The 16,792-nt window shown below is 36.2% G+C and overlaps 1 protein-coding gene across 5 annotated transcripts in view; it reads right to left on the bottom strand.

Moving 5' to 3' along the window:
* Positions 1-16,792, bottom strand: part of PTPRZ1 (protein tyrosine phosphatase receptor type Z1) — a 188,876-nt gene that overhangs the window by 73,697 nt on the left and 98,387 nt on the right. For all 5 annotated transcript variants that reach the window (NM_001369396.1, NM_002851.3, NM_001369395.1 and 2 more), the window contains 5 exons: positions 15,648-15,799; positions 12,072-12,167; positions 11,489-11,555; positions 4,518-4,675; positions 4,223-4,373 (listed from right to left, as the gene is read on the bottom strand). In NM_001369396.1, coding sequence (NP_001356325.1) covers positions 4,223-4,373; positions 4,518-4,675; positions 11,489-11,555; positions 12,072-12,167; positions 15,648-15,799 — 624 coding nt within the window. The remainder of the gene's footprint in view (positions 1-4,222; positions 4,374-4,517; positions 4,676-11,488; positions 11,556-12,071; positions 12,168-15,647; positions 15,800-16,792) is intronic.

Genomic DNA, 16,792 nt, shown 5'->3' with positions numbered 1-16,792 from the left:
ATATATTTTGACAATGATTGAAACTTTAAAATCATAAATGTGCATATTAGTCTATGTAACCAGAAAAAAAAAGTTCTGTATCATCTCTGATCCCCCCTAGAAGGGGATATGTTTTGGCAAACGAAGGGCCCCTTTTAAAAAATATTTATGTATTTATTTATTTTTACTTCAACTTTTATTTTAGATAGAAGAGCACATATGCAGGTTTGTTACATGAGAATACTAAAAGATGCTGAGGTTTAGAGTACAAATCCCATCACTCAGCTAGTGAGCATTATATTTGATAGGGAGACTTTTTAACTCACCCACCTCTCCACTCTCTCGTACACCACAGTGTCTACTGTTCCCATGTTTATGTCTATGTGTAATTAATGTTTAGCTCCCACTTATAAGTGAGAACATGAGGTACTTGGTTTTCTGTCCCTGCATTAGTTCACTTAGGATTATGACCTGCAGCTCCATCCATCTTGCTGCAAAAAAACATGATTTCATTTTTTATGACTGTGTAGTGTTCCATAGTGTATATGTACTACATTTTTTTAATCTACCACTGAGCACATGGGTTGATTCCATATCTTTGCTATTGTGACTAGCACAGCAATGAACATATAAGTGCATATGTCACTTCTTAGAAGAAGGCATACAACTGCTAAGAAACATATGAAAAACTACTCACCATCACTAATCATCGGAGAAATACAAACCAAAACCACAATGAGATACCATCTCATACCATTCAGAATGGCTATTATTAAAAAGCCAACAAACATTGCATCTAGTGAGGCTGCAGGGAAAAGGGAATGCTTATACACTGTTGGTGGGAATATAAATTAGTCCAGCCATTGTGGAAAGCAATCTGGAGATTTCTCAAGAACTTAAAACAGAGCTACCGTTTGACCCAGCAATCCCATTACTGGGTATACACCCAAAAGAAAATAAATCATTCTACCAAAAAGGGCCTTTTTTGATTGCTGAGCTCATTAGGATGAGCACGGGCAGGCAAGTTTGAAGGACCTGGGACAAAGCTAATTTTCCTGCCTTAAGAAGACGTGAAGACTTGGGTGGGATGAGGGTAGCAGCTGAGACTCTGTGAGGGGAACTGACCAAAGAGGAGGGTCAAACAATCTGAAGGCAAAGACTCTAAGGCCCAGCAAGGGAGACTGCAGAAGAGATGTGTTTCTGCTAACATAATTTTAGAATAAAAACTGATGGCCATAAAGATACAAAACACTAATAAAAACTAGGATTGTCTTTTGAGCACTTTTATTTATCCTAAGGATATACAATATAAGCGGATAACACTATATAAGCAATATTGTCTAAGCTGTAGGCAGATATTTTGATGAGATGCTGAGTTTTGTAGCCTCTCCCCATCACTCCATAAATATTTAGTCAAAAATACAAACATAACAAAGTAGTTGGTGTGACTGGATTTTCTTGAGGAAGCTGGGGAAGGCACACATATAGGATAAGTAGACAACAAAAACAGCCTGTAAATGTGCATTTTTATTGTTAAACTTTCTAGTTTTTCCTTAAGTATTGCATATTTAAGTCCCTTCAATTTAAATGAGTGAGTCTATTTTGAGTTGCTGTTTTTCTAGTTAGTTCTGCCATTTATTTTGGAACCAAACCACAGACAAATAGGTGATAAATAAATTATTATTACTATGGCAGTCATAATAGTATTGCAGCAGGGATGTGAAATTCTGTGACAATATACACACATAGTCTAAGGGAATAAAATCGATTCCTACAAGCTCCATTCAAGAAAATTATTTTCCTTACTTTATAGGTCCTATCATGTATTTCTAGAACCCAAAACACCAAGTAGTTAAGAAAGTGTTGTTTCTGTGTTTGACCTTAGGATAAACAAAACACTCAAAATCCATTACTATTTTTTTGAAGCTTCATGTCTTTAAAGTCATCAGTTTTTTATGTAAGCAGAAATTATGTTCCTGTATAAATGTCAAGTACAGTGGACAGAAGTTTGCAAAGCTTTAGATTCAGGGAGACTTGGGTTCAAATACTGACTCCATTCCTTTCTAGTTGTGTAAACTTGGGCAAGCCATTTAATATCAGCTTCCCAAACTGTAAAATGAAGACAATGAGGCCAACTTCATAAGAGTGAAGTGAGGTCTACGTCAAATATTGTCTGGTTCCAATGCCTGGTAGAGTCACACAATACACAGTAGCTATTACTGTTTTTGTTATTATGGATTATTACTTTGGGCCTTTAACACTTAACTGTGAAAGCAATGTTCTACATTAAATCAGAATTATATACAGATCTACACATTAAACAGTGCAGGAAGCACCCATTAAGTATAACTTGCTATGTTTTTATTATGTGGAAATGGAGTCTTTCAGCCATGCAGTGAATATTTAGTGAAAGAGAGCTTTACTTTAGTTTGGCCATGGAGATAAAGAGATAAAAGACTTATTTACTTCCATTATGGGGCTCAGAGATTGCTGGCAGAGACACAAAAGTAAATAGACAATTACCATAATGTGGTAACTGCTATGAAGTCTGGAGAAGCTGAGCACATCGTACAACCTCCAGAGGAGCACCATTTACCATCTATGGGTATGGTGTCTCCTTGAGTGTGCAGTCCTGTGGCCATTGCCAGGGCCAGACTTAGGGGGACAGAAGCAGAGTCAGAGATGGCCTCCTAGTGGATGCAATGCTCAACTTGAGTCTTGAAGAATGAGGAGGCAGGGAAATGAAGACAGTGGAGAGGAATATGCCATCAATGGGGAAGCCAAATGTACAAATGCAACCTGGAAGAATGTGGTCTTGCATCTTCAGGGGACTTCATGGAGTTCAATGTAAGGGAAGGATGCTAGTTGGGGAGGCTTAAGCACTAAGACTAGTAAACCTACACAGAGCCTGCCATGCAATAACAAGCAGTTTGAACTTTATTCCAAAAGTGATGCAGAACCAGTGAAGGGTTTTAATAAAACAGAATTGATAAAACTGTGTGACAAAAAAATCATATTTATTTAATTAGTAATTTGGTCTATTATATTTAAGAAGAGGGGATGGTTAAATCCACTTTCTTTTTTCTAATCGATTGTCTATTATTTACTGGACAGTATGCTATAGTATTTAGTACTACTGATAGAAATGTAATTAAATTTCCTCACTTTGGGGCAATTTAGTTTAAAATTTAGTGTCATAGTAAATATAGCTATTCATCACTGTTGTCTTGAATTCTATTTTTTTGTTAAAGGATAAACGATTCTTGGAAATATCACATTAAAACAATAAAAGCTTGTTGTTTTAATGCCTAATCTTCAAAAGCAGATGATTATTAAATTAATATTATACATGGCAAAAAAAAATCATTGAATTCATTGCAGGACTGATATCAAAGAGGTCCATCTACTTGGAAAGGTTAGAAGTCCTTTCCAGTGCAAAGGTCACTTCAACGACTTCTTTAATGAACAAGTGACAACCTCAGTAAAAACTGAAAAGGACAAGTCAGCAGATGTATCTGATTGTGTTCTCTGGACATTTAAAAATGCTTTTAACTACTGTGTCAGCTTCAAAAAACAGACGGCATTCTAGAGACACCCCTCTGGTGTCATTTCCCTTGGCTGTACCTAAAAAGAGCAAATTTCTTTTCCTCCAAAGAAGGAAACTGGGAAGAAGATTCACTTCTTATTCATTAATAACTCAGTGCATTTATTTTCAGTACTGATAAGGTGCTAGGCTCCTTCTTGGGGGCTGCCAACACAAAGATGAGCACTTTAAAACCCAAATACTGTGTCAAGACTCAGTTCAAAGGCGGTTCTCCCATAAAGTTTTCCTTATTATCCCAACCAGAAATGATCTCCCAAGCTCTGAACACCTCAGCCTCTTATTCATTCCTTTCTCATACCTCTCAGCCCAGGCAAATACCAGAAAGTGAACTTGGAGGTGTGTACTTTGCTTTGCTACTTATTACTGTGTATTCTGGAAAAATGATTTTCCTTATTAAATCTCAGTTTTTCTCATCTGTAAAATGGGGTTATTCTTATGGGAAGAATAGATTTTTTTAGTTGCCATTTTATAGATGTGGTATCTGATATTCAGAAAATTAGACAGCTTATCTAAAGCTACAAAATTAATAATTAAAACATTTCTAAAGCTCTAAGTCCTCTATATTTGTCAGTTTACCAAAATTACCTCCTATAACACTGCATCTATGAGAGTTGTAGAAGATTATATTTAAATACATACCTGCTTCATGAATCTCTTCCTTTCCAGTGTATGAGGAAAACACCTGTCTAGAGAACTTGTACTGTTGCTCTCGAAAATTGTTTTGTAAGTAGTCCATCAGCATGACATAACCAGATTGTTGCATTGTAAGAACTTCACAAAAAACAGCCAACTGAAAAAAAGATCAAATAATTTAACATATCTGCTTCAAAGGCATTGGTAAATGCTTTAAAATGGATATTTTATAGCAAACTTAGAACATAATGTTTTTTAAATGGCTTTGAATTACTTGATTTGTTTGAATTTCTAAGATTACCTGGCTTTCAGAGATGCTAACTGTATCTTTAAAAACAATCCAGTCAACTGTGTCTGTGCAGGGAGGAGATGTCAATGAGCCATTGTAAATGTAATACTTGTCAGTTGAGTTTGGCAGAAGGTTCAACAGTATGAATGGATCTAAAGCAGCCTGCTTCCCTAAAAAGGAATAATATACATCTCAGCTGGAATCTCAACACTGGAACTTAGCTGTTCAAAACTTCTATGAAACAGAGACACATGCTTTGTTATGTATTTAATCAAAACTGAGATTTTGAAACATTTTAGATATATTTTTAAATGGTAATAAAGCTGGCATGCCCCAAATTGTATTACACATGTCACTATACAGTGTTAGATGACTTATCTTTACATCAAGATGGTGAACAGAATATTTTACATATAAAAATACTCAGAAATCAGATGATCATCTCAATAGATATAGTTATATCATTTCATAAGACTCAATACCAGTTCATGGAAAATAAAAACACAACCTTATTCTGGTGAAGATGATCATCAAAGCCTGTACTAGTCATCATATTTAAGAATGACTTATTGAAAGTGTTTCCCCTAGAGATCAAGAATGACACCAGGATTTCCTGCCATCACCACTTCTATTTAACATTGAATTGGAAGACTGAGCCAGTGCAATAAAGAAAAAAGAAACGAAAATCTTAAGATTGTATAGGAAAAAATAATACCATCACAGTGTGCAAATAACATGATTGTGCATGTAAAACATTGAAAATTATTTACAGGCCGGGCGTGGTGGCTCACGCCTGTAAAGAAGCCAAGGTGGGTGGATCACGAAGTCAGGAGTTCGAGACCATCCTGGCTAACACGGTGAAACCCCATCTCTGCTAAAAATACAAAAAATTAGCTGGGCATGGTGGCACGTGTCTGTAGTTCCAGCTACTCAAGAGTCTGAGGCAGGAGAGTGAGTCGCTTGAACCTGGGAGGCGGAGGTTGCAGTGAGCCAAGATGGCGCCACCGCACTCCAGCCTGGGTGACAGAGCGAGACTGCATCTCAAAAAAAAAAGAAAGAAAGAAAATCATCTACAGAGAATGAGAAATAATAAGTGAAATTAGCAAAGTCACTGCACGTAGATCAATATACAAAAATCAATTGTATTTCTGTGTACCAGCATCAAACAACAGAAAATAAAATTTAAAGCAATATGATTTAAAATAGGAAAACATTATCAAATACAAATAAATCTAACAAATAATGTGTAGAATATCTACACTGAAAATTACAAAACATTCTGGAGAGAATTAAATAAATATTAAAATGGCAGAAAGATTATGTTCATGGGTTGGAAGAGTCAGTATTGTGAAGGTGTTGATTTTCCCCAAATTGATTCATAGATTCAATGAAATCCTAATTAAAATCCCAGAAGGTTGTGTGTGTAATTGACATATTGATTCTAAAATCTCAATAAAAATCCAAAGAAAAGTTAAGACAATCTTGAAAAATAATAAAGCTGGAAAACTTTCACTACCAGATAGGAAGAGCTGTCATACTGTTACATATAAAGCTGTAGAAATTATGATAGTGAGGTATTTGTGCAAAGATCGATGAAGAGAACAATGGAAGAGAAAATAAAAGAGAAAAATATGATCATTTGATCTATGATAGAAAAAATTATTATGGAATGTGGAATGGATGGTCTTTTCAATAAACAGTGCTATATCAATTGAATATCCTCATGGAAAAAAGTGAATCTTGATTCCCTACTTCACATCATAAGCACAAATCAGTTCTAAACTGATTGCAGATTTAAATGAACATATTCATAATGCTTTTAAATGAAAACATTAAAAAATTATCATCATAACCTAATGGTAGGTTGAGGTTTCTGAAATGGCACACAAAAAATATTACTTATAAAAGGAAAAATGATAAAATTTAGTATATGACAATCAAGATCTATTCATCAATAGTCATTAAGAGAGTTAAAAGGAAAGCCAAAGAGTGGAAAAAAATATTTTTGATACAATATACACAGATGTGTTTGTGTGTGTACACACACACACACACACACACACCAATAAATATGGGTTTATTCTTATATATAAACTTGTATACAGATTATAGAATTTCTATCCAAAAACTGGTAGAGTTTTCTTAGGTGGGCCATCTGGCCTTCAAACCCTGAAACAATCCAAATATATCTGTCTCCTTGAATAGTCTCATTTGTATCTGTCCAATAGCACTTACCAATAGCAATACCTTGGTCATTTAGCTATTTGTGAACCAGCCCTCACTCATGTAGGCAGCAATCTACTTACCAGTGAGATCTGTGTCTAATTTGTTTTCCTATCTCCTGAACTACCCAGCCCAGTGCAAGTCCTCTGCCCTCTCTATGAGATTAAGGCCATTAAGAAATAGTCCCTGAAGCCAATCCGTGTAGTCTAAGTGAGGTGGCGGAGTGTAGAGCAGTGGTGTTAATCCTTATGTGAATAATCCAGGGAGTTTTAGAAAAATACCAATGCCTCAGGCCCCACGCTAGACCATTTGCATTAAGATCTCTAGTGGTCAGGCCTGGGCATCTAGATTTTTAAAAAGCATCCCCAGGTGATGCAAACATGCAGGGTAGTAGGCTAGTGTAGAAAATCCCAAGTAAAGTGAAGCCTTTTCAAGGTTTTAGTCTTTCTTTTCTTTCTTTTTTTTTTTTTTGAGACGGAGTCTCGCTGCCGCCCAGGCTGGAGTGCAGTGGCGCTATCTCGGCTCACTGCAGGCTCCGCCCCCCAGGGTTCACGCCATTCTCCTGCCTCAGCCTCCCGAGTAGCTGGGACTATAGGCGCCTGCCACCACGCCTGGCTAATTTTTTGTGTTTTTAGTAGAGACGGGGTTTCACCGTGTTAGCCAAGATGGTCTCGATCTCCTGACCTCGTGATCCGCCCGCCTCGGCCTCCCAAAGTGCTGGGATCACAGGCGTGAGACACCACGCCCGGCCTAGTCTTTCTTAACCACACTTTCCACATTAGAATACGAAATGACTAGACTATCTGATCTTAAAAGTCTATTCCAGCTGTAAACTCTATGAAGACTGAACATACTCAGAAAGCCTCAAAGAAAAATAAGTTATTTAAAAGTTAAATTAGTAAATGTTAACTTTTCTGTAACAGAAACTTCTGAAGGGAAAAGGAGTACTGTTATTAACTAAAGTTACAGACAACTGCTTCAGTCTGAATTAACAACTGAATCTTAGAAATAAAAACCTTTTCTTAACTGAATTGATAGTCACGTCAATATGTCCTACATGTAGTTTTAATCCATTAGAAAGTTCAAGTTTTCTTTGATTTAACGGATTCATTAGTAACTTCTAAAAGTATGTCCTCCTCTTCTCCAATGCCAAGATAACATGATCAGAATTCAGATTAGATTCAAGTTCTCAGGAACTAAGAAGAATATTTTTTTTTAATCTGTGAATGTTTTTTAGATTTATGTTTTCAATACTAGAAAAGTGTTGTAGTTAAATTACCTCCTTAACTGACAAGTGGACTGTAATTGTTCCTTTTCCCACTGAAGACTAAATTTATCTTACAAATATTTCATGAAAAATGTGTGTGTTGAGAATACTAATTAGGTAAAGAGCCAGAAATTGACTCGCTGCTAAGTTAGGTGGAAATGAATTGACCCCAGGAGAGCCAGGGGCCCGGAAGGGAAAGCAGAGGTGAGACCTGAGTAAGGAGAGTGAGACAGAGAATTTTCCTATTATTGGGAAAGAAATTAAAGGGGAAAAAATTTAAAAAGAAGCAAAAGAATCAGAAGAAGATTTTTTTTTTTTCATTTTCCTCTCCCTATCCCCAATGTGGAATCCATTCTTCTGCCTCTGGACCTCAATAGCAGTCACCTGGTCTCTCTTACGGATGTGGTAACTAGATATCACAAGATTTTTAAATTACAGAAGTGCTTTTCAGTTACATTTTCTTCTAACAAAATTTCACTACAGTGTTTTCCTTTGTTTGTGTTTGTGGTTTTCATTTTGTTTTGTTGGCTTGAGAAAAAAACACCTGCTTCATCCAAGTAACCTCACTATTGTTAACACAAGAGAGAAGCACAGCAGAGCCAGTGCTGCTCTATTTGGGGTCAGTCATTCATTTTTGCAATCATTATTTGCTTGAACATGTAATGATGATCAACCAACCAACTAATCAGATCCGTCCATGAGAAGGCTAATGGTGGAAGAAAAAAGATGGGGAGGAACAAAGATGAAGAAACCACAATAGGGCCAAGCACTAGAGAAAGGCTGGTAACTACATAAAACCAGCTCCTATTACTTAGGACAATGATATTTAGCATGGGGTCACACCAATGCCTATGAGGACTTTTCAGTACAGAAATTTCTGGGCTGAAATTGTGATTAAGAAAGCACTATAAATCAGTCTGATGAGAATTTCCATCAGATAATCACTGATGATGTTACCTGGGATGTGTCTCTTCCCTGCAACTCGAAAGATTGCAACTAACGTCTTTTGTGGGCTCTGCTTGGAAAATATTAATTCATTATCTCAGTATTGCTGCAACATCATGCTCTCTCTCTCTCCACTCCATGGATAGGATAATGCCTAACATAGAGTAGGTATGGTGGATGGGAGGGAAAGAAAGAAAGAGGGGTTGAGGGGAGGAATGAGAAATGGGCTTTGTCCTTTAGAGAGGAAACAGGAAATGAGCAACCAGCCCACAGCATAGTAAGATAGATCTTATAATCTGAATAATGGTTGAAAAGGTGTTTTTTTTTTTAATAACTTACATTATATGGTGAATACAGAGCCAAATTTGGGGATTTAGCTGTGGTTCCAGAATCACTGCCTAAAGACAAGTCCCACCTTTGATCCTCAAGGTTGCCAGCAGCAATGTCTGATTGCCAATATGGGGGAGCCTTCAGTTTATTGGGCAGTAGGGGATTTTCTAGAGTCAGAAATAGACTGGATTTAATTCAAGAACTCTCAAAATGGAAACGTTTGACTTTAGAAAGACTTAACTTATTTGGTTTGGGTAGTTGTCCTTGCTGAGTATATTGAAATACTAAGTATCCAGATGAATGAGTGGATAGGCATGAAGGATTTTGGTTTTTGGTAAATGAGGAAGTTGGTGCACAAATAGTGGTGATATGGTTTAGCTCTGTGTCCCTGCCCAAATCTCATCTTGAATTGTAATCCAAATTGTAATCCCCATGTGTTGAGGAGGGACCAAGTGGGAAGTGATTGGATCATGGGGGCAGTTTCCCCCATGCTGTTCTCATGATAGTGAGTGAGTTCTCACGAGATTTGATGGCTTTATAAGTGTTCCGCAGTTTCTCCTTTGCTCACACTCTCATTCTCTCTCTCATGCTGCCATGTAATACATGCCTTGCTTACCCTTTGCTTTCCACTATGATTGTAAGATTCCTGAGGCCTCTCCACCTATGCAGAACTGTGAGTCAATTCAATCTCTTTCTTTTACACATCACTTACTCTCAGTGTGAAAATGGACTAATACAAGTGAGGTAGAGAGACAGAGAGAGAGGGGGTAAAGGACTAGAATCCGTCCTCAGCTAATCCAAGAACTGTTCTGCTTTCAAATTAAGAGCCAGAATATAGGCAGAATAATGCTGTTAGGGAATCCATATTCTCAGAAAGGGAGAGAATATGTAGTCACAGTGTATCTGACAAAGTATCTTCCTGAATGGCTTTCAGACAGTAGATATTAGAAAGGAAATTTTAAAGAACATGAGCAAGTTTATTCTCAAGCTCGTATGAGTGCCTTCCAAGGCACCCCCAAAAAGTAAAGTACCTGGGAAAGTAAAGAGGCCTTAAGAGAAAGTCTCAAAGGTCCCATAGTTGCACAAGTCAGGGTTAACAACCCAGTGTTAACATCTCTTTCATTGTCCCCACAGGCTGGTGCAAGGTCTGGAACATTCAGAATTCATATCTTACACATTTTTTTAAGTATAGGAATTCAAACAAGTTGTTTTATTTCAGTCTGGATAGAATCTACTTTGTGACTCAAGTGGGGAAAATTAAATGTGACTTATCGCATTCAATGTAGAATTTTGCAATCTGGGTTGATGGAGGGAGGTAACAGCTTCATCTTGTGCTGTGTCTCTAAAAAAAAAAAAAAAATAAAAGCTACCCTGCAGGAGTTCACATATTCCTGACTTCTGAAAAGTTGGGTCAATTCAGATCCTCACATGTAATTGACAATGATAAATCAATCCTAGGCCAGGCTTCTGCTTTCAAGAAAAGGATCTACATGAGTTTTGTTTCTGATTTCAAATTTTGCAGCTTCCAGAGAGGAATAATCCTCATTTTATTGGTAACTCAGGGCAGCATTAAGATCCTGTGTGTGAGTGCTTAATAAAAATAAAATAGTAAAATTAATAGGCTTACACTCCTCTGCCCATGTTGTTAAAAGCATTTGTTGTGACAAATTACAAGATCCATGAGATAGCAGGCAGAACAATGTCAAAGCATATTGCATCTTCTTCTATGTAAGTGTTGACCTTCTTCCAAAAATCTCATCTCCTCATGTTGATAAAGCAAAGGATTTATCAAGGAAACCACCAGGGAATAAATTTTAACTTGAGTAACAATTCCTTTTCTACTTTAAAATATGATATTTATAAAATTAGCTGGTTTCAGATTAGGAATTAGTCTTTAACGGATGTATAATGCAGAGACATAATAGATAAATAGGCTTTAATTGCATGATATAATTAGATTATTTTCAAGAATTTTAAAAACTTCAATTTCCTACTTACATTAATGTTTCATGCTTTTGATGTAACAAAATTTTCTGATAAATTGTTATTTATTTGGTGAGAAATGTATAAATTATCAAGTGTGGAAAGTGAGAGATTGCTCCTCTTTAAAAATGTAGTACTTTCCACCTTTTGGAACAAGTGACTTTTGTCGTATTGTCAACATTCTTATCCATCCAAAGCAGAATCCTGAAGAAAGATAGTTCCCCAAGTAGCTTACCAAAACGACTAACACTTTCGACTCCATCAATAATCGCTTTGAAATCCAAATTTTCTTCTGTCCCAACCTGTTAAAAAAGAATCACATTCTAAAAAAAGAATAAAACATTTGGATAACTATTCAATAAAAATGTGAAGATTAATGAATTCCATTTTAAATATGTGCATTAAAAAATAGTAAGTTCCAAAAACACTTTTTTTATAGCTAGGTGAAAACAAATAAAGCAAACAAAAACCAGGTAACTTACATATTTCACTAAGAAAAGTAAATTTTAAAATTTTATGATTCATAGTTACTGATAATAATACATAATTATTAATATGATGCTTTTATGTACTATAAGCAAATCTGTGTACTTAATAGAACACTTTGCCCCAGCTAGAAAAGATTCACCCAATTAACAAACACAAGAGTCTCCTTTTAAAAATACCAGGCAAGGGTCATCTTTTTTTGAAAATGACCACCAGTTTTAATTTTACTTGTGAGCTCCTCTCTTTGTTAGAAACTATGTCTTGATATTTCACGTCAATATTTAATGTGACTTAAAAAGGAATTACATTAGTGTAAAGTGTATATATATTACCTCAAACAAAATGGATAAAGCTCTTAACTTCCCTTTTCCTTTGACTGCTTCCTCAAAACTTGAAAATCGGTCCGCATCAAAGCAGTAGATTTGCATCTATAAAAGTAACAATGATAGTTTTATGATACACAAAGACTTCATAAAAATCAGCAAAGAGAATTCTACATTCTAAGTATTTCCAAAATCTTTTATAAATTACATGTATACAACTACATTTGCTATCATTTACCATCCTTCAATAAGGAAGGGAATAGAAAGTTAGACATATCTAAAACCAAAATGACCATTTTGAGATTACCAGGGGACTGTGCCGTAAAATTTATTAGAACAATTACATAAAATAAATAATCATATATTACTTTAACTGCTTTATGGAATTATTTTAAATATAATTTTCTGTCTTTCTCAAGAGTGCATGCCTTTCTTGAGAGTCCAGAGTTACCATTCTTTGATATTCCCATATTGTGGTCTATTAATATTGAAACTCTCAAGGACTCTCAGCTTCTACCTAAAAAATACCAAAAGAGTTTTAAGTTTCATATTTTGATTCTCCTTTCCAGCTGTGAGGCTATCCCTTGTTAATTTCTGCTTCAGTCCATATATGTATCTCTCTGTAACAGCCTCTATATAATTTGGTGCTTCTCCTGTCTGGGTTTGGAAATCAGGTGTCTCAGGCTAGATAGAAGTAGACTTAAGGTAAGAGTAGGAAGCCTCTGAGAGCATAAAGCATAGTCAGTGCTCTGATGGGAGAAACAGAGGGTGTGCAACAGAGGATAGCAGTGGCTCCTGCTTTGGGCGAGTCACCAAAACCTTTTCAGAGACAGGATTTCTAAACTGACCCTTCAAGAATGAGCAGCTTTTAGCCAGGTGAAAGGCAGAAGAGAAGGGCATGTGTTCAAGTCAGAAGTACCACCTGGCAAAGGCCTATTAGGCAAGACAGTATGACAAGCATGGGAAATCGAAAGAAATATGATTTAAAACTTAATAATTATTAATTTAATAATCCAAGTAAGCAAACTTTTTTCTGACCTCCCATATGGTATTTAGGAGAAAAACTGATAAGGCTTTTGTTTGTTTGTTTTGAGAGGGGGTCTCACTCTGTCACTCAGGCTGGAATGCAGTGGCATGATCATGGCTCATTGCAGCGTTGACCTCATGGGCTTAAGTGATCCTCCTACCTCAGCCTCTGGAGTAGTTGGGACAACAGGTGCATGCCACCGTCTTCAGCTATTTTCTCTTATTTTTTGTAGAAATGGGATCTCACTATGTTGCCCAGACTAGTCTCAAACTCCTGGGCTTAAGTGATCCTCCAGCCTCAGCCTCCTAAAGTGCTGGGATGACAGTTTGAGCCACCATGCCTGGTGAATTGAGAAGACTTGATTGTGAGATGTAGGAGATAAGAAATACGGAGCAAGCCAGGGATGATCCTTGGGTTTCCTGCTTACACAATTACATAGAGAGTGTTTTAAAACAACAAAGAAGACTGGGCATGGTGGCTGATGCCTGTAATCCCAGCACTTTGGGAGACTGAGGTGGGTGGATCACGAGGTCAGGAGTTCAAGACCAGCCTGGCCAACATAGTGAAACTCCGTCTCTACTTAAAGATAGAAAAAATTAGCTGGGCATGGTGGCATGCACCTGTAATCCCAGCAACTCGAGAGGCTGAGGCAGGAGAATTGCTTGAACACAGGAGGTGGAGGTTGCAGTGAGCCGAGATCATGCCATTGCACTCCAGCCTGGGCGACAGGGCGAGACTCTGTCTCAAAGCAACAACAACAACAACAACAAAACCCCAATACCACTGAGAGACAATTTGAGAGGCTTTTGCATTAAAATAATTGTATTAGGTTTAGTGCATGGATTCTGTACCATGTATTTTGATTGCTCAGGGCTCTTGTTGATAGAATTTTTCTTGAACTTCATCTTTGTTCTAAATAGGTAATATTGTGAGTAAGCTAAACTCTCAGAAGTGATATGTTGCTTAATGAATTGACTTTGACTACTTTGACAAAGCAAATTTGATAAATGTGCTTTTCTTTAAAAATATTGAATAAAGAAAAAATCCATAGTATAAGCTGTAAATGAATGTCGATATCCATCTTTTAAAAAAAGCTTTTTAGTCTTTTAAGAGGTAATTCACCCTATCTTATTTTTATTATTAATAACTTTTGAATTATAAAATGAATAGTTTCATTCTAGGTATTTTAGAAAACATGGGAACTTGAAAGGAGAAAATAAGAGGCACCTATAATGCCATCACCCAGAGAAAATCATTACTAGCATTTTCTTGAATTCCATCAATTGCTTTTTTTTTTTTTTTTTTTTTTTCTTTTTTGAGACAGCGTCTCACTCCATTACCCAGTCTGGAGTGCAGTGGTGTGATCTTGGCTCACTGCAACCTCCACCTCCTGAGTTCAAGTGATTCCCATGCCTCAGCCTCCTGAGTAGGTGAAATTACAGGTGAGTGCTACCATGACCAGCTAATTTTTGTGTTTTTAGTAGAGGTGGCATTTCACCATGTTGGCCAGGCTGGTCTGGAACTCCTGACCTCTAGTGATCTGCCCATCTCGGCCTCCCGAAGTGCTGGGATTACAGGCATGAGCCACCGCGCCTGGCTCCTCAATTACTTTTATGAGTAATAAGTCAATCCCTCATTTAATTTCCATAGTAATGTTATAAGGCAGGTGCAGCTACTATGTCAATTTCACGGAAGAAAAATGGAAGCATTGGTAAGTTAAATAATTTATATATTGTATGTCATGTAACCAATAACCAAATGGTGGAGTCAAGATTCAAACCTAGTCCATTTGATTCAGACTCCACTCTCAGTCAATATTTAATTAATTTTAATGTATTAAAAAATTGCAAAAATAATACTGGTTATACCACTTAACATGTTTCTTTTTAAAACCATTAATACCTTATCATGAGCCTTTTATATGTATATATATCATTCAAAAACATGATTTTTGTGAAATCTATAATATCCATCATAATGTATTTAAATAATCATTGCCTTTTGGTTCAATATTATATTTTAAATAAATTTTTGCAATTTTTAAATTTTTAGACTAAATGGCTTTAAATTTAAATGTTGGGTATTTAGTGTAAATCATTTAAAATTCTTAATAAAAACAAGCAAACTGCTTCCCAGAAAGTCTACCAATTTAGACTTTCTCTAGACATGTAAGAAAACATTTCACTACACACTCATTTTTTATAATTATTTACTTTGCCAATTTTAAAGCTGAAAATTTTTCTCATTTTAATCAAAAGATTTAAATCAAAGGATTCTCCAGTATGTTAATGAAATTGTCCCCCTTTTCCTTCCTTCATTAATTCATCAGCATTTATTGATTACCATTTTGTGGCACTTTGGGTTGCTACTTACCAGCAAGTGGCAAATCAAAGATAAGTCTTACATTAATTTAGCTTAGTCTAGTATATTAATCAAGTAATCAAAATATCACTTTATAAATTTTAATATTGGATTTTAAAATTAATCAAATTATATGCTAAATAAAAACATCAATTATTTAGAAAATAAAATAGTACACAGCAGATCTCCTGACTTACCTCAAGTGGAAATTTTTGTCCTTCTAAACTATGCTCTGATCCATCAGATGACATATTGCATTTTCCCCAGTGAAAAGTTATCTTGCTTGCTTTAAACACCATTTCTGAAACTCCTCCGCTGACACGGTAGTCATTAGTGAGATTAATTTCCACTAAAAAAAGAAATACAATTGCACCTAAGCTTCTGAAAATCAAAATTTTAAATTTCAACTAAATTTCCATCTACTTAAGGTACATTAAGAAAAATCATTTATTTGATAAATTTACAAAATATGAAGTCGCCATTTTGGAAGCCAAACTTTGTAGGTCTGCACAATATACTTATATCTTATTGCCACAAATGCAAACTAAGCTGAAGATATTGACTAGTGTATGACTTCAAGGGCAGAAGACAGCCAGTCCACCTGCTCTGTTTGTTTGGTGTCCTAAGATAGCTGTTACTTGAAAGCTCTGCTTCCCTAAGATGTCAGATGGTAATAAGAAGACAGAGCAAAGGGGGAAGGAACTGAAGGGTTAAAAGAAAAAAAAAAATAAGTCTTCTCCTCAGAGTTCTCTCACCTTCCTATTTTCAGCCCATTTCTACTCCTTATCAGGCTGCTGCTTATCCCTCCATGTATCACCCAGGCTTCATTAGCAAGGTCCAGAACCTGGGTCCCTGGCTGTGGCAGGAAAGGCAGGAAACTCATTCTTATGGAGGAGTTTTGGCCATCTCATGTTTGAACCCTGAGTGGCAGAAGCTTAAACTCCCCTGTATGAGTTCCACAGCAGATATTATCTGACTATATTTTAACAGTCTTCTGGAGAGCTCTCTTGAGAGCCCAGTGAAAGATTTGGATGTCCCTCAATAAAGTTTAAATAGTCTCTGTTCCATTAGGGATAAATCACTTTGGCATCAGGGACTGAATACAACATATTGGCCAGCCAGCTAGGGATACAAACTCCAGCTAATAATAATAATAACAAGCACAATAACAACGACAGCCAACATTTACATATCACTTACGATGTACCATGAACTATACTAGTTACTTTACATATATTATCCATTTGATCTTCGCACAACCTTGGTAAGTAGATACTGTATAAACCTTATTTTACAGATGAGGAAATTGAGTCACAGAAAGGCTAAGTAGGTTGCTCAAAGG

The sequence above is a fragment of the Homo sapiens genome, chromosome 7, assembly GCF_000001405.40.
Source record: "Homo sapiens chromosome 7, GRCh38.p14 Primary Assembly".
NCBI classification, from domain to species: Eukaryota; Metazoa; Chordata; class Mammalia; order Primates; family Hominidae; genus Homo; species Homo sapiens.
This window is presented reverse-complemented; position numbering and strand designations above follow the sequence as displayed.